The sequence below is a fragment of the Homo sapiens genome, chromosome 17 (assembly GCF_000001405.40).
Source record: "Homo sapiens chromosome 17, GRCh38.p14 Primary Assembly".
In the NCBI taxonomy this organism is placed as follows: Eukaryota; Metazoa; Chordata; class Mammalia; order Primates; family Hominidae; genus Homo; species Homo sapiens.
Genome location: NC_000017.11, coordinates 936,964 through 954,453, shown reverse-complemented (window position 1 = coordinate 954,453; position 17,490 = coordinate 936,964). Strand labels below are relative to the sequence as shown.

The 17,490-nt window shown below is 52.7% G+C and overlaps 1 protein-coding gene across 3 annotated transcripts in view, besides 3 other annotated features; it reads left to right on the top strand.

Annotated features, from left to right (window-relative positions):
• Positions 1–17,490, top strand: part of NXN (nucleoredoxin) — a 180,467-nt gene that overhangs the window by 25,323 nt on the left and 137,654 nt on the right. The window lies entirely within an intron of this gene.
• Positions 3,794–4,686: an enhancer, noted in NCBI's record as "NANOG-H3K27ac-H3K4me1 hESC enhancer chr17:853008-853900 (GRCh37/hg19 assembly coordinates)". NCBI's record gives its function as "activates a minimal SCP1, AML or CMV promoter by ChIP-STARR-seq in naive H9 embryonic stem cells {active_cell/tissue: H9 hESC(naive)}" and the evidence as "EXISTENCE:reporter gene assay evidence [ECO:0000049][PMID:30033119]".
• Positions 6,472–7,363: an enhancer, noted in NCBI's record as "H3K27ac-H3K4me1 hESC enhancer chr17:850331-851222 (GRCh37/hg19 assembly coordinates)". NCBI's record gives its function as "activates a minimal SCP1, AML or CMV promoter by ChIP-STARR-seq in primed H9 embryonic stem cells {active_cell/tissue: H9 hESC(primed)}" and the evidence as "EXISTENCE:reporter gene assay evidence [ECO:0000049][PMID:30033119]".
• Positions 7,364–8,256: an enhancer, noted in NCBI's record as "H3K27ac-H3K4me1 hESC enhancer chr17:849438-850330 (GRCh37/hg19 assembly coordinates)". NCBI's record gives its function as "activates a minimal SCP1, AML or CMV promoter by ChIP-STARR-seq in primed H9 embryonic stem cells {active_cell/tissue: H9 hESC(primed)}" and the evidence as "EXISTENCE:reporter gene assay evidence [ECO:0000049][PMID:30033119]".

Here is a 17,490-nt window from a genome sequence, read left to right as displayed (position 1 = left end):
AGACCTGCCACTTGACTCGAGAGAGAATTTAGGTATCCCAAAACTTAGGAGCGGGAAGCGTTTCTTTTTTTTGGAGATGGAGTCTTGCTCTGTCACCAAGGCTGGAGTGCAATGGTGCGATCTCGGCTCACTGCAACCTCCACCTTCAAGATTCAAGGGATTCTCCTGCTTCAGCCTCTTGAGTAGCTGGGACTACAGACGTGCACCACCACACCTGGCTAAGTTTTTTTGTATTTTTAGTAGAGATGGAAGTTCACCATGTTGGCCAGGCTGGTCTCGAACTCCTGACCTCAGGTGATCCGCCCACCTCGGCCTCCCAAAGTGCTTGGATGACAGGCATGAGCCACGGCGCCTGGCCAGGAGTGAGAATCGTGTCTAATGCCAGTTATTCAAGAATCATCTTGGTGTGCTTTCAAGTACTTTGTGAAACCCAGCATAGGTCTCCTTGGAGTTGAGAGTTGCACTTTGCTAGACAGAGAGGAGCCGCAGCACGGAGCCACACGACCACGTGCATGCACCATCATCCTCCCGCACCCGTCACGCAGGCTGGGGTGCAGTGGCACGGTCATGGCCCACTGCAGCCTCAACCTCTGGGCTCAAGCAATCCTCCCACCCCAGCCTCCTGAGTAGCTGGGACTACAGGCGCGTGTCACCACGCCCAGATAATTTTTAAATTTTTGTTAGAGATGGGGGTCTCACTATGTTGCCCAGGCTGGTCTTGAACTCCTGGGCTCAAGCAATCCAAGTTCTGGGATGACAGATACGAGCCTCTGTCTCACTCTGGACTCCTTAGAGAAGGGAGTGTGAATTCTCTGTGGAGTGATAAGTACAACTGTTGAGAGTATAGTTTGAACTTGACATAGGTTTATAAGGTTGGGCCTGGCTGGAGAATCCTAACAGGTTTATGCTGGGCGCGAGGAAGTTATAAAAATGTTTCTCCTGTTCCTTAGAGTTCGTCCTCAGGGACAGGGGGTGTGGGGCATCCGAGGTGCCTCGTCCTGCTTGTGGTGGGAGGGGGGTCATAGTCTTTTCTTTTTTTGAGACGGAGTCTCGCTCTGTCTCCCAGGCTGGAGTGCAGTGGCGCGATCTCAGCTCACTGCAACCTCCGCCTCCTGGGTTCAAGCGATTCTCCTGCCTCAGCCTCCCAAGTAGCTGGGATTACAGGCGTGAGCCACCATGCCTGGCTAATTTTTCTATTTTTGGTAGAGATGGGGTTTCACCATGTTGGCCAGGCTGGTCTCAAACTCCTGACCTCAGGTGATCCGCCCGCCTCGGCCTCCCAAGGGTCATAGTCTTCCGTTTGGACTTCAGGGAGCTACTCAGACATTCCCTGAGCTGGAGGGTTCCATGATAATGATCATCAGTCATGGCTTCTGTGGACTGAGCCCCTCACTGGATTCCAGGGACCACCTTGAAGTGGTCTTCATGGCTCTCATCTTTAACACGGGGTAGCCTAGGACCCCTCTAGGACCACCTTGTTACTGCTTTTCATGTATTATCTCATTGCGTCTTCCAGGACGGAGAAGTGGGTCCTGGCTCTGCTGGCCGTCATTCCTCCCAGAGGGATGGGCAGCAGGAACCTGTCGTCCGTGGTACCTGCCGGGTTCCAACCTTGGTCTGTCTGACTCCAGCCCCCCCACAGTGTGACCGTCCGTGGTACCTGCCGGGTTCCAACCTTGGTCTGTCTGACTCCAGCCCCCCCCACAGTGTGACCGTCCGTGGTACCTGCCGGGTTCCAACCTTGGTCTGTCTGACTCCAGCCCCCCCACAGTGTGACCGTCCGTGGTACCTGCCGGGTTCCAACCTTGGTCTGTCTGACCCCAGCCCCCCCACAGTGTGACCGTCCGTGGTACCTGCCGGGTTCCAACCTTGGTCTCTCTGACTCCAGCCCCCCCACAGTGTGACCGTCCGTGGTACCTGCCGGGTTCCAACCTTGGTCTGTCTGACCCCAGCCCCCCCACAGTGTGACCGTCCGTGGTACCTGCCGGGTTCCAACCTTGGTCTGTCTGACCCCAGCCCCCCCACAGTGTGACCGTCCGTGGTACCTGCCGGGTTCCAACCTTGGTCTGTCTGACCCCAGCCCCCCCACAGTGTGACCGTCCGTGGTACCTGCCGGGTTCCAACCTTGGTCTGTCTGACCCCAGCCCCCCCACAGTGTGACCGTCCGTGGTACCTGCCGGGTTCCAACCTTGGTCTGTCTGACCCCAGCCCCCCCACAGTGTGACCGTCCGTGGTACCTGCCGGGTTCCAACCTTGGTCTCTCTGACCCCAGCCCCCCCACAGTGTGACCTGAATTTTCTGCAACCTCCTGTGGCCTTGTCCTGGCAGGAGGTGGGTAACTGTCATGAGTTTCTCAGACCACAAAAACCACAACCACCACCGCCCCCCACAAAAACGGAAACGCCCCTTCTTTCAGCGCTGGCCATGAGGGAGCGGTGGTGATGGATGGCTGACCGTGGAGAATTCTGCATTCCAGGGGACTGAGGTCAGGGCAGGCGGGAGCTGCGTGGCCCTGGTTTCCAGGACTCAGGCTCTGGTGCATTCTCGGGGAGGCTGAGCTCCCCTTCCCGGGTGCCCTCCGTCTACTGAGTGTGCCGAGCTCATTGCTTTCCTGCCTCCCGTCCTCTCTGCCCCTGTGGCTCTCCCAGGGAAATACCCACGGGACCCCAGGTGAAGGTTCCTGCTGCCCGCCCCTCTGGGGCTGGCCCTGCTGGGAGGAATGCCGGCCCCCACCCCCAGCCCTGCCCAGACTCATGCCTGAGGTTTTACTGCTTTCATTCACTTCCATACATGGAAGTGGGGCTTGCCCGCCTCTGCCAGAGAGCGCCTGGATCAGGAGGTTTGTCTCCACACAGCTGACAGACCCTCCCGCCCCCAACCCCCGCCCCCGCCCCCAGCTCGCATTTTTAAAATGTATTGATTGAGAAAGACCCTGGCTTTAACCACATCATGTCTGCAAAAAGAGAGCGTGAGCATCTCAACAGAGAGATCAGGCTGCAGAATTACCCTCTGGTCCCTCGTGCGATCGTTGCAACACTGGCCTCCACCTGGGGGTGTGTTAGAAAGTTCTAAAGAGAAGCTGTTCAGTCTTTTTTTTTTTTTTCGAGATGGAGTCTCACTCTGTCACTCAGGTTGGAGTGCAGTGGTGTGATCTCAACTCACTGCAACCTCTGTCTCCCGGGTTCAAGCAATTCTCGTGCCTCAGCCTCCCAAGTAGCTGGGCTTACAGGCGCCCGCTACCACGCCCAGCTTTTTTTTTTTTTTTTTTTTTTTTTTTTAAGTAGAGACAGGGTTTCACCATGTTGGCCAGGCTGGTTTCGAACTTCTAACCTCAAAAGATCTGCCAGCCTCGGCCTCCCAAAGTGCTGGGATTACAGGCGTGAGCCACCGTGCCCGGCCGGAAGTGCTTTTTATAATGCGGAGTACTAGGGTTCTACCCGGTTTTTTCTGATTTTGTTTCATAAGCGATTGAGGATTGGACCTTGTACTAGTTAGACTTCCAGAAAGTCAAGAGTTGACAGCAGTAGCTCCTAAAGTAGATTTGGGGAGGAATGTGTCTTTCTTACGGAGGTGTCTTTACTGGCTTGGTGTGTCATTTGTTGGTCTTCTTTGTGCCAAACACTTCGCCATTTCGTCCGACTCTTTCCCCTGCTAACATCTTGGGAACAGTGTTGCGTGTCCCACTGGGTTGTCTCTGTGGTCCTGCTCACGTCCGTCCACTCGGTGGCATCCTCTGAGCCTCCTTATAGTGGAATGTGAGTTATTTTGAAGCCGTAATTCAAGATTGTAAAATTCTAGAAGCACATGCCGAGCTCTGGCTTTGCTTTTGGGGAACGGACGGGGGATGAAATGACTGTGCTGGCCTGGCCGTTTGCACCCCACCCACCCCTGAACACCAGATATAGAAAGTTCTAGAAGCACATGCTGAGCTTTGGTTTTGCTTTTGGGGAATCGACAGGGGATGAAATGACTGTGCTGGCCCGGCCGTTTGCACCCCACACACCCCTGAAAACCAGATATAGTTCCCTGCCTTGGATAAGATCTTAAAAATAAAACCAAGCCTTCGGATCCTTTCTCGTTGGGATTTATTTTAAGCTTGAAATAGCAAACCCTAAAGTTCTTCATCTCTGTACCCACTCCCTTCCCCCACCGAATCCCTTTCTTGTATAAAAAGATTCTGAAATTCTTCCTTGATTCTTTCCTGCCTGGAGGGGAAAGGGGCGAACAGGCACCAGCTTTACTGCTGCAGTCCGTGATGTTGATCTGAATTCCTTCTCCTGCTCTTTTTCTAGTTAAAAAGATTCCCTGCTGTGACCCATGGATGTGTATTCACAGGGCACCGAATTTGTAAGGTGGATGGAACTGCCTTCAGAGTTAAGGGGCTTCTTTTAAGCAATCTTTTTTTCCTTTTTAAAAAAGTGATTTCTTAAGCATCAGGCTGTCTTCAGCCTACTAATTGTTTTGGCTCCAAGGAGGACCAGGACCTGGGGCTAATTGCTTCTGGCATTGACCGTTAGCCCCCGAGAAGCTGCTGGCCAAATGACTGTTACCAGAAGGTGCCCAGGCAGATGCTGGGGCTGAACAATGCATGGCGTCTTCCCACCCCAGCCCCCACTGCTCCAGGCTGAGCCCAGTGGCTCTCCAGGGTCTCAGAGGTCCTCACGTGGCTGCCCCTTTCCAGACTGAGGCAGGGAGGTGGGTCCTAACAGAGGAGGCCCGCGGGGAGAGGAGGAGGCAGCAGGGAGAGGAGGAGGCAGGGGGGAGAGGAGGAGGCCACGGGGAGAGGAGGAGGCAACGGGGAGAGGAGGAGGCAGGGGGGAGAGGAGGAGGCCGCGGGGAGAGGAGGAGGCAGGGGGGAGAGGAGGAGGCCGCGGGGAGAGGAGGAGGCAGCGGGGAGAGGAGGAGGCAGGGGGGAGAGGAGGAGGCCGCGGGGAGAGGAGGAGGCAGGGGGGAGAGGAGGAGGCAGCGGGGAGAGGAGGAGGCCGCGGGGAGAGGAGGAGGCAGCGGGGAGAGGAGGAGGCAGGGGGGAGAGGAGGAGGCCACGGGGAGAGGAGGAGGCCGCGGGGAGAGGAGGAGGCAGCGGGGAGAGGAGGAGGCAGGGGGGAGAGGAGGAGGCCGCGGGGAGAGGAGGAGGCCGCGGGGAGAGGAGGAGGCAGCGGGGAGAGGAGGAGGCAGGGGGGAGAGGAGGAGGCCGCGGGGAGAGGAGGAGGCCGCGGGGAGAGGAGGAGGCAGCGGGGAGAGGAGGAGGCAGGGGGGAGAGGAGGAGGCCGCGGGGAGAGGAGGAGGCCGCGGGGAGAGGAGGAGGCAGCGGGGAGAGGAGGAGGCAGGGGGGAGAGGAGGAGGCCACGGGGAGAGGAGGAGGCCGGGGGGAGAGGAGGAGGCCGCGGGGAGAGGAGGAGGCAGGGGGAGAGGAGGAGGCAGGGGGGAGAGGAGGAGCCCGGGGGGAGAGGAGGAGCCCGGGGGGAGAGGAGGAGCCCGCGGGGAGAGGAGGAGGCAGGGGGGAGAGGAGGAGGCAGGGGGGAGAGGAGGAGGCAGGGGGGAGAGGAGGAGGCAGGGGGGAGAGGAGGAGGCAGGGGGAGAGGAGGAGGCCGCGGGGAGAGGAGGAGGCAGGGGGGAGAGGAGGAGGCCGCGGGGAGAGGAGGAGGCCGTGCCCTGGCCCTGCTGTTTCCTCGTGTCCCGGGATGTGGATTTAGTACCATCTGAGAATGCTGCTCTCAGCCTCCGAGCGCTGGGGCGGGACGGGCCGGGGTGAGGCCCCGCGTTGGGACCCAGCTGTCTTAGGTTTTGCCTCAAGCGTTTGTTCCGTGAAGCACCGAGTGATGGTTTTCACCCCTGGCTGATCTTCAGTCGCCCGGGAGCTTTTAAACATTCCTTTCCCAGGCTGCTTGTTCACCGCTAGGTCCCCAGCGCAGGGCCGGGCCCTGTACAGTTCCACAGCCGTCCCTCAGTGCCTGTGGGCAGGTGGTCCCAGGGCCGCTCCTACCCCTCAGTACCCAGATCCCGTGATGCCAAAGTTGCTGATATAAAATAGCATTTACATATAACCCGTGTACATCTCCAATTTACTTTATTATTTTCTTCTTTTTTTTCTGTTTTGTTTCCTTTGTTTTCTTTCTTTATTGTTTAATTTTTATGGTGTACATATTTATGGTGGACGTGAGATATTTTGATACAGGCATACAACGTGTGATCATCACACCAGGGTAAATGGGGTAATCCTGTGTACTGTAAATTACCTCTAGATTACTTATAATTCCTAATACAATGTATTATGAGTAATACCTAATACATCTAATACATTGCTATGTAAATAGTCGTTATGCTGTGTTGTATTTTATTTTTTATTTGTATTTTTACATTTTTTTAAAAAATTCTTTTTACTGATTTTTTTGTTTTGTTTTGTTTTTGAGAGAGAGTCTCTGTCACCCAGGCTGGAGTGCTGTGGTGCCATCTCTGCTCACTGCAACCTCCGCCTCCCGGGTTTAAGCAATTCTCCTGCCTCAGCCTCCCGAGTAGCTGGGAGTACAGGCGCACGCTGCCACATCCAGCTAATTTTTTTTTTTTTTTTTTGTATTTCAGTAGAGACGGAGTTTCACCGTGTTGCCCAGACTGGTCTCAAACTCCTGAGCTCAAGACAGTCAGCTCGCCTCGGCCTCCCAAAGTGCTAGGATTACAGGCGTGAGCCACCATGCCTGGCCCTTTTTTTTTTTTTTTTTTTTTTGAGAGGGAGCCTCACCCTGTTGCCCAGGCCGGAGTGCAGTGGCAGGATCTCGGCTCACTGCAACCCCTGCCTCCTGCGTTCAAGCAGTTCCCCTGCCTCAGCCTCCCGAGTGGCTTGGATTACAGGCACGTGCCACCACTCCCGGCTAATTTTTGTATTTTTAGTTGAGATGGGGTTTCACCTTGTTGGCCAGGCTGGTCTCGAACTCCTGGCCTCAAGTGATCCGCCCACCTCGGCCTCCTGCATTGCTGGGATTACAGGTGTGAGCCACCACGCCGAGCCCTGAATATTTTTGATTTGGGGTTAGTCGAATCCGTGGATGTAGAACCTGTGGGTACAGAGGGCCCATTGTCCATAACTGTGTAAAATCAGCTCAATGCCTGTGTAGCCCCATTATGTCTGCCCATAATATTTAGGAAAGTGAGTCTTTTAGCCTCATTCACATACAGAGTCCATCTCACATCAGCACCTGCGCGTCCCCGTCACGCTTGTGACCTCGAAGGCCCTGAGGATGATTCCTGTGACGGTTTTTCAGCCACTACTGTACGTGGGTTACTAGTGCTTTGTCATCTAGAATGGGGTTCGTAACCGAGGGGGACGCTGCCGGTGCATGATCATGACAAGCCTAAGAGTGAGAGGATGCTTTTCACTGAGTGGGGGGCCCGTGCTGGGCCCTGAGTGCTGGCGTGTATCGTCTCTCCTCATGCGGCCCCTGGAGGACGCACCGTGGGGCCGACTGGCTTTCCCGGTTGTGCTGCTGATACGTGGCTGAACCAGGATCTGTGCTCTGGCCCTGAAGCTGTGAACTGCGTGATAACCAGCCAAGGCTGCCACAGAAGGCTGCAACCTCCCCGTGCCAGGGACTGCAGTGGAGACACCTTCTAGGCATTGCCTCATTTCATTCTCCCAAGGACTCTGTGACGTTGGCGTGATCACCCCCATTTTCCAGGTGAGGACACTGAGGCCCAGCGATGCGGAGATGTGCTGGCCGAGCCCGTCAGCGGTACAGTCGCCCGCTGCGGGGGGTCGTCCCTCCAGAGCCGATTCTTTTTCCCTGTGAGGCGCCGAGGCTAACGGGGAGCGTGGTTTTGGGACTTTTGGGAAGCAAATGTCACCGCTGTCTTTTGGTGGGAACTTCTCAGCCAGGGCGTTAGTGGGCATGATAACTCAAGCTCAGGTCTTGAGCACACCCACTACGGACTCTTGCAAGAGGGAGAGTTGAGGAAAATGGTTCTAAAACCTCAGTAATTAGAAGAGACAGCCTTTGGCCGGGTGTGGTGGCTCACGCCTGTTATCCCAGCACTTTGGGAGGCCTAGGCGGGCGGATCACGAGGTCAAGAGATCAAGACCATCCTGGCCAACATGGTGAAACCCCATCTCTACTAAAAATGCAAAAATTAGCTGGGTGCGATAGCAGATGCCTGTAATCCCAGCTACTCAGGAGGCTGAGGCAGGAGAATCGCTTGAACCCGGGAGGCGGAGCTTGCAGTGAGCAGGGATCCCCGGGAGGCGGAGCTTGCAGTGAGCAGGGATCGCGCCACTGCCCTCCAGCCTGGGCAACAGAGCGAGACTCCATCTCAAAAAAAAAAAAGAGATAGTCTTCTGAACTTTCAAGCGCCTAGAATACATCAACTCCTTGTCTTTTAGTTACCCAGCTCCCCCAACTCACTTTCTCTCTCTCCCTTTCCCTCTCCTTCTCCCTCTCTACCCCAGGGAGGGTCTCTGGCAGCCAAGAAAGAGCCTTTTTGTGGCCGAAAGGGTGAGAACAGCCAAGGCCCCAGGACCCCAAGGACATTCCCAGTTTCCAGCCTGTGGTTTGCTGGCAGCCTGTGGTTTGCTGGCCTAACCCTAAAGGCACACCTGATTGGTGGGTTATCTCTGAACGATCAGCACTTCTGTGAAGGGCAGAATACTCTGGATTCAGGAGAGAGATAAGCAGTGGAAGCTCCCCAGGCATTGGGCCTGGCTTTGGACATCTCCACTGAACATTTATTATTTTGGGGCTAAAGATATGAAAACAATCATACATTTAATATCCACCGACTTTGTGATGTTTAACATCTAACTCTGTCATCTGGGAAACACTTTTTTTTTTTTTTTTTTTGAGACGGAGTCACTCTCTCGCCCAGGCTGGAGTGCAGTGGCACGATCTCGGCTCACGGCAAGCTCTGCCTCCCGGGTTCACGCCATTCTCCTGCCTCAGCCTCCCAAGTAGGTGGGACTACAGGCGCCCGCCACCACGCCCGGCTAATTTTTTTCGTATTTTTAGTAGAGACGGGGTTTCACCATGTTAGCCAGGATGGGGGAAACTCTTATCTATTCCCCAGGGTTGTTTTTAAGATCCACTTGGGGGCAGGGCACAGTGGCTCACACTTGGAATCCCACTGCTTTAGGACGCCGAGGCGAGTGGATCACCTGAGGTCAGGAGTTGGAGACCAGCCTGGCCAACATGGTGAAACCTCGTCTCTACCAAAAATACAAAAATTAGCCGGGCGTGGTGGCGGGCGCCTGTAGTCCCAGCTACTCGGGAGGCTGAGGCAGGAGAATTGCTTGAACCCGGGAGGCGGAGGTTACAGTGAGCCGAGACTGTGCCGCTGCACTCCAGCCTGGGCCACAGAGCGAGACTCCGTCTCAAAAATAAAAAATAAAGAGAAATACTTGCTGCCCACCATCCTCCATGCACTTGCCTGGCATGTTGATGACGGAGGCAACCCTTGTGAGAATTCTCCTCTGCGGAGCCCTTTTTAGAAAATCCTACCCCATTTTAGAAAAATCCATTATGTACCCAGTTTTCTCTTCTCGGTGTGTTTCACAGTTCGTAGGTGTTCCACGGTTTGTTATTGTTGGTTTTTAAATCTTCCCTCAGTGTGGCCCCTGCTTGAAAGAAAACACTGACCCCGTTGGCCACGATTTAACAATTTTTGACCTCTGCCCAAGTTTTTCTGGATTTTTCTACCGGTTTAATTTCCAAGAGTGAGGGATACAAACTCACTGGAATCCCAAAACAAAGCTTGGTGTTTTTGAGGTGGAGATGAGGAAGGAGTTTCTTCCCCTTTCTGGTTTTCTCCGCCCTCCTCCTACCGGCTGGCTTGCTGGCCAAGGAACTTTTTCAGAACTGAATGATTTGCCAGAGATGAGAGGAAAAAAGGGCTGGTCCTTCAGAGCTATTTGCCACAAATAAACAAACAGAATCTACCTTACATTTGCCCCTTTGCCATCTGCTCAGCTGAGAGGGAGCCCCACGCTTGGTGAACACAGCGCAGGGCCTTTGCAGCCGACTGGGAAAACAGCTCCAGTTGGAGGCAGTCCTCGGACGGGGGTACGGACCTGCGGAAACCTTCAGCTTTGAAGTCAGAGAAGCGTATTTGATCTTGGAGTTTGGGGCCAATATGGACGAGACAGGAACACAAATCACCTGGATTGGAAGCTCTCATTATGGAAGCTTAATAAACAGGCTGCGTAGCTGGTATTTTTTATTTTTTTATTTTTTTCTGAGATGGAGTTTCGCTCTTGTTTTCCAGGCTGGAGTGCAGTGGCGCCATCTCGGCTCACTGCAACCTCTGCCTCCTGGGTTCAAGCAATTCTCCTGTCTCAGCCTCCCGAGTAGCTGGGATTACAGGCACCCGTCACCACACCCAGCTAATATTTTGTATTTTTAGTAGAGACGGGGTTTCGTCATGTTGGCCAGGCTGGTCTCGAACCCCTGACCTCAGGTGATCCACCCACCTTGGCCTCCCAAAGTGCTGGGATTACAGGCGTGAGCCACCGTGCCCGGCCAAATATTGTTATTTTTTTTTTAGGAGAAGGATTGTCGAGTTAAACAACTTTTAAAAAACATTATTTTAAGAATTGTGGTAGAATATACATAACATAATTTACTGTCTTCACCATTTTTTTTTCCTTTTTTAGAGACGGAGTCATACTCTGTCACTCAGGCTGGAGTGCAGTGGCGCGATCTCGGCTCCCTGCAACCTCCGCCTCCTGGGTTCAAGCAGTTCTCCTGTCTCAGCCCCCCGAGTCGTAGCTGGGATTACAGGCGTGCATCACCAAGCCCGGTTAATTTTTATATTTTTAGTACAGACGGGGTTTCACCATGTTGGCCAGGCTGGTTTTGAACTCCTGGCCTCAAGTGATCCGCCTGCCTCAGCCTCCCAAACTGCTGGGATTACAGGCGTGAGCCACTGTGCCCAGCCCGGTAATATTCTTTTGAAGAAAGATATGATTTAATGACCAGATGTTACTTTTTTTTGGGATCTCAAGGCTGGGCAGAGTAACTTAGAAAGTTACGGCACGTGGGGAACAGACGTGCTTGAGGTCATCACTCGGGGCCTCTCTGGGCCTTCCCTCTGTGACCTTAGAACCCTCTGGCCAGTCGACCTCCGTGGAGCCTCCTTTCCCTGTTGGTGACCTTTCTCTGGAGGTCCTCGAACCTGGGTAGTTCATACAGAGCTGGGAGTCGGTGGTTCGCTGGGTAACTTCATGCAGGACAAGCACCTCAGTTGACAGATTTAAAGTTCACAAACATTTTAGTCGAGAGAGAGAATGATGATGCCTGCGCAGGGGCTAACATTAATATTTACCTTAAGAAACCGACGGTTATTTTAAAACGATGAAGTATGTTGGTGCAGGGAAGGGAGGAGGGTCTAGTGCCGGGCCACCCCACTGTAAATCCAGGGAGGTGTTTGGTGAATTCATGGCTGCACCCTGGAATCTTGTTCACTGTAAATCCAGGAAGGTGTGATGTGAGTTCATGGCTGCACCCTGGAATCTTGTTCACTGTAAATCCAGGAAGGTGTGATGTGAGTTCATGGCTGCACCCTGGAATCTTGTTCACTGTAAATCCAGGGAGGTGTTTGGTGAATTCATGGCTGCACCCTGGAATCTTGTTCACTGTAAATCCAGGAAGGTGTGATGTGAGTTCATGGCTGCACCCTGGAATCTTGTTCACTGTAAATCCAGGGAGGTGTTTGGTGAATTCATGGCTGCACCCTGGAATCTTGTTCACTGTAAATCCAGGAAGGTGTGATGTGAGTTCATGGCTGCGCCCTGGAATCTTGTTCGCTGTAAATCCAGGAAGGTGTGATGTGAGTTCATGGCTGCACCCTGGAATCTTGTTCACTGGAAATCCAGGAAGGTGTTTGGTGAATTCATGGCTGCACCCTGGAATCTTGTTCACCGTAAATCCAGGAAGGTGTGATGTGAGTTCATGGCTGCGCCCTGGAATCTTGTTCGCTGTAAATCCAGGGAGGTGTTTGGTGAATTCATGGCTGCACCCTGGAATCTTGTTCACTGTAAATCCAGGAAGGTGTGTGGTGAATTCATGGCTGCACCCTGGAATCTTGTTCACTGTAAATCCAGGAAGGTGTGATGTGAGTTCATGGCTGCACCCTGGAATCTTGTTCACTGTAAATCCAGGGAGGTGTTTGGTGAATTCATGGCTGCACCCTGGAATCTTGTTCACTGTAAATCCAGGAAGGTGTGATGTGAGTTCATGGCTGCACCCTGGAATCTTGTTCACTGTAAATCCAGGGAGGTGTGTGGTGAATTCATGGCTGCGCCCTGGAATCTTGTTCGCTGTAAATCCAGGAAGGTGTTTGGTGAATTCATGGCTGCACCCTGGAATCTTGTTCACTGTAAATCCAGGAAGGTGTTTGGTGAATTCATGGCTGCACCCTGGAATCTTGTTCACTGTAAATCCAGGAAGGTGTGATGTGAGTTCATGGCTGCACCCTGGAATCTTGTTCACTGGAAATCCAGGGAGGTGTTTGGTGAATTCATGGCTGCACCCTGGAATCTTGTTCGCTGTAAATCCAGGAAGGTGTGATGTGAGTTCATGGCTGCGCCCTGGAATCTTGTTCGCTGTAAATCCAGGGAGGTGTTTGGTGAATTCATGGCTGCACCCTGGAATCTTGTTCACTGTAAATCCAGGAAGGTGTGATGTGAGTTCATGGCTGCACCCTGGAATCTTGTTCGCTGTAAATCCAGGGAGGTGTTTGGTGAATTCATGGCTGCACCCTGGAATCTTGTTCACTGTAAATCCAGGAAGGTGTGATGTGAGTTCATGGCTGTGCCCTGGAATCTTGTTCGCTGTAAATCCAGGGAGGTGTTTGGTGAATTCATGGCTGCACCCTGGAATCTTGTTCGCTGTAAATCCAGGAAGGTGTGATGTGAGTTCATGGCTGCACCCTGGAATCTTGTTCACTGTAAATCCAGGGAGGTGTTTGGTGAATTCATGGCTGCACCCTGGAATCTTGTTCACTGTAAATCCAGGAAGGTGTGATGTGAGTTCATGGCTGCGCCCTGGAATCTTGTTCGCTGTAAATCCAGGGAGGTGTTTGGTGAATTCATGGCTGCACCCTGGAATCTTGTTCACTGTAAATCCAGGGAGGTGTGTGGTGAATTCATGGCTGCGCCCTGGAATCTTGTTCGCTGTAAATCCAGGAAGGTGTTTGGTGAATTCATGGCTGCACCCTGGAATCTTGTTCACTGTAAATCCAGGAAGGTGTTTGGTGAATTCATGGCTGCACCCTGGAATCTTGTTCACTGTAAATCCAGGAAGGTGTGATGTGAGTTCATGGCTGCACCCTGGAATCTTGTTCACTGTAAATCCAGGAAGGTGTGATGTGAGTTCATGGCTGCACCCTGGAATCTTGTTCGCTGGAAATCCAGGGAGGTGTTTGGTGAATTCATGGCTGCACCCTGGAATCTTGTTCACTGTAAATCCAGGAAGGTGTGATGTGAGTTCATGGCTGCACCCTGGAATCTTGTTCACTGTAAATCCAGGAAGGTGTGATGTGAGTTCATGGCTGCACCCTGGAATCTTGTTCACTGTAAATCCAGGAAGGTGTTTGGTGAATTCATGGCTGCACCCTGGAATCTTGTTCACTGTAAATCCAGGAAGGTGTGATGTGAGTTCATAGCTGCACCCTGGAATCTATTTCACTGGAAATCCAGGGAGATGTGATCTGAATTCATGGCTGCGCCCTGGAATCTTGTTCACTGTAAATCCAGGAAGGTGTTTGGTGAATTCATGGCTGCACCCTGGAATCTTGTTCACTGTAAATCCAGGAAGGTGTGATGTGAGTTCATGGCTGTGCCCTGGAATCTTGTTTTTAAGGGTCCTGCAAAGCCCGCTGGGCTGTTGTGAGATGAGGCATGCCGTCCGTACCTGGTTCTGAGTGGTGAAAGGGTCTGGGTGATGTCTTCGTTAGGGGCTTTTGACCTCAGTGGAATTGATTTTTAACAGAGACATTGCGTTTGGAAGTTGCCCACGGCCCTTTTTCCTTCTTTTTACCAAAACATCTATTGGGATAGTTTCCTCTTTTAAAAGTAATATTGAGGCCAGGTGCAATGGCTCACGCCTGTAATCCCAGCGCTTAAGGAGACAGAGATGGGAAGATAGCTTGAGCCCAGGAGTTTGAGACCTGCCTAGGCAACATAGCGAAACCCTATAATCCACAAAAAGGGGGAGAAAGAGACCAAAAAAAAAAAAAAATTGAGGCCAGGCACAGTGGCTCATGCCTGTAATTCCAGCACTTTGGGAGGCAGAAGTGGGAGGATCACCTGAGGCCAGCCTGGGGAACATACTGAGACCCCCCCACCTCGATCTCTACCAAAAAAATACAAAAATTAGTTAGCTGGCGTGGTGGCCTGTGCCTGTGGTCCCGGCTACTCAGGAGGCTGAGGTGGGAGGATCACTTGATCCCGGCAGTTTGAGGCTACAGTGAGCCATGATCACACCACTGCACTCCAGCCTGGATGACAGCAAAAAAAAAATAAGAAAAAAAAGGTAATACTGGAAGCGGGAGTTGACTGCACTCTCCCTGCCCCACTGCAGGGCCCGCCACAGTGTTGCTCATGCCTGCAAATTATATTTTTTAAAAAGTAATAATGGATCATCGAATACAAAAAAAGCATGTGGGGGATCAGTCTCCTGCAGACCCCCTAGCTAGAAGCATGGATGTTCCGACATCACAAGGCAGCCTTGTCTTTTCCTATGTAGGCACGTACGTGTGTGTCTTACACAATTAGGATGTATTTTGAGTGTATTTTCATGTAAGAACGTATTCTTTAAAAAGATGATCTCTGGCCAGGCGCGGTGGCTCACGCCTGTAATCCCAGCACTTTGGGAGGCCAAGGTGGGAGGATCACCTGAGGTCAGGAGTTTGAGACCAGCCTGGCCAACATGGTGAAACCCCATCTCTACTAAAAATATAGGAATTAATTAGGCGTGGTGGCGGGCACCTGTAATCCCTGCTACTGGGGAGGATAAGGCAGGAGAATCACTTGAACCTGCGAGGCAGAGATTGCAGTGAGCCAAGATGGTGCCACTGCACTCCAGCCTGGGTGACAAGAGTGAAACTCTTGTCTCAAAAAAAAAAAAAAAAAGCTGATTTCTAATAGTTACGTGGTATTTTGCTGTATCTATCTGTCTATGTGTATATATGTACCATATTTAATAGTTTCCAGTTTCCTATGATAGGAAATGTAGGCCAGTTCCAGATTTTGCTGGAATAACCAGCGCTGTTATAAACTTGTTTTTATATTCTTCTCTGTGCACATCTTTGGTGGTTCTCTAAGGATAAATTCCTAGAAGAGGAATTGCTAGGTCAAAGATTCTGTTATATTTTTAGCTCTCATTTTCCTTTCATTTGTTCTTTTCTTTCTTTCTTTTTTTTTTGAGAGGGAGTCTCACCCTTGTCGCCCAGGCTGGAGTGCAGCGGTGAGATCTTGGCTCACTGCAGTCTCTGCCTCCCAGGCTCAAGCAATTCTCCTGCCTCAGCGTCCCGTGTAGCTGGGATTACAGGAGCCCGCCACCACACCCAGCTAATTTTTAGTAGAGACGGGGTTTTGCCATGTTGGCCAGGCTGGTCTTGAACCCCTGGCCTCAAGTGATCCGCCCGCCTCGGCCTACCAAAGTGCTGGGATTACAGGCATGAGCCACCGCGCCCAGCCTGTTCTGTTCTTAATTTTATCTTCTTTTTCATCATTTTTCTTTTGATTTTGCCTGTTTTCTTTCTTTTTGTTTTTGTTTTTTGTTTTGTTTTTTGAGACAGTGTCTCACTCTGTCACCCAGGCTGGAGTGCAGTGGCGCAATCTCGGCTCACTGCGACCTCCGCCTCCCCAGGTTCAAGTGATTCTCCTGCCTCCGCCTCCCAAGTAGCTGGGACTACAGGGGCTCGTCACTAAGCCCGGCTAAGTTTTGTATTTTTTTAGTAGAGACGGGGGTTTCGCCATGTTGGCTGGGCTGATCTCGAACTCCTGACCTCGTGATCCGCCTGCCTCAGCCTCCCAAAGTGTTGGGATTACAGGCGTGAGCCGCCGCGCCCGGCCGGGCTGGGGACCTTTTCTTTGGCTCGGCCTTCGCACTAGCTGTGAGCTGTGTTTGTGGCCAGCTCACTTGCTGTCATATCAGGGCAAGCTCTTGCCGCCTGCTCTAGATCTAACCGCCGACCTGGGCCTTCCCATCATCTCGTGCTTTTCAAAAACTGCTTTCTGGAGCAGTAAAACCGCCCAAGTGGAAAGCTTGTTCCTCTCCGGCCTCTTTTGTCCTCTGACCCTGACCCCTCCGAATAGGCATATTCACAGGGTTCTCCTGGGGCCTCTGCCCCTTAACCTCTGTGTATTTGCTGCTACGCAGAAGGCCATTGCAAGGTTGGCCTTGGTGGGTTTTCAAATGTGGTCCCAGCTGCAGCCATTCCTCTTCCTTCCTGTCCTTGTACCAAAAGCAGAAGCCTTCTGGGTTCTTCTTCAGCGACGGCCCCTGCGCCCCGTGGCTCCTGTGGCCTTTCCGCTGGGCGCAGCGTTTTTCTTCCCTCGTGGCTGCTGAGCGCTGCTCTGGGCTATGTGACTTCAAAGCCATTCCCCCAGAGGTAGCTGTCCTTAAACTAAAACTGAAACGAAAGACATTTCTGAGCTCCTTAAAAAATAATCATCATCATCGAACGCCCCGTGAATTCTCTGCTTTTCATGTGGTTCCCGGCGTCCCCGTGACAGCGTGACCTGTTGTGGGCTGCCAGCTCGGATGCCTTTGATGTCTGTCTCCAGGATACTTCCCTGGAATCTGTGCAGAAAAGAGTGAAATTGGAGTGAGTGTGTGTGTTGGGGAGGGCGGTGGGGGGACCCCAGGAACTTTGGGGGTGTGTTCTGAAGGAAACGAGCTTGAACCGGCAATAGCCTCGGAGAAGTGTGCGTTCCTCTCGATGACGGAGAGTTTTGGCTTTTCCCTCCTTTTGTCCCTCCCCACCTGTTTTCCCTGAAGCTGCCCCTTTGGTTCTCACTGTGTACGGATCACCGCAGAGCCCCCTTCTCCAGGTGTGTTCCTTGTGTCCTGAGTTCTCAAGCAGCCTTGTGGGTCCCTGTTGGAAGCTGATTCCTTCCGTTTCCTCTGGCCGCTTCCCTCTTGGACTCCTGGGCTCTTCTTTTTTGCCCTGCACCTTGCCCCCTGCCCTCCTTTTTCTTCCTTAAGAAAAAATGCACCCAGCACCTTGGGAGGCCGAGGCGGGCGGATCACCCGAGCTCAGTAGTTTGAGACCAGCCCGGCCAACATGATGAAACCCCATCTCTACAAAAAATACAAAAAATCAGCCGGGCGTGGTGCTGGGTGCCTGTAATCCCAGCCACTCAGGACACCGAGGTGGGAGGATCACTTGAGCCCGGGAGGCAAAGGCTGCAGTAAAGGCTGCAGAGTCTCACTGTGTCACTCAGGCTGGAATGCGGTTGTGCAATCTCGGCCTCCTGGGGTCAAGCTGATCCTCCCACCTCAGCCT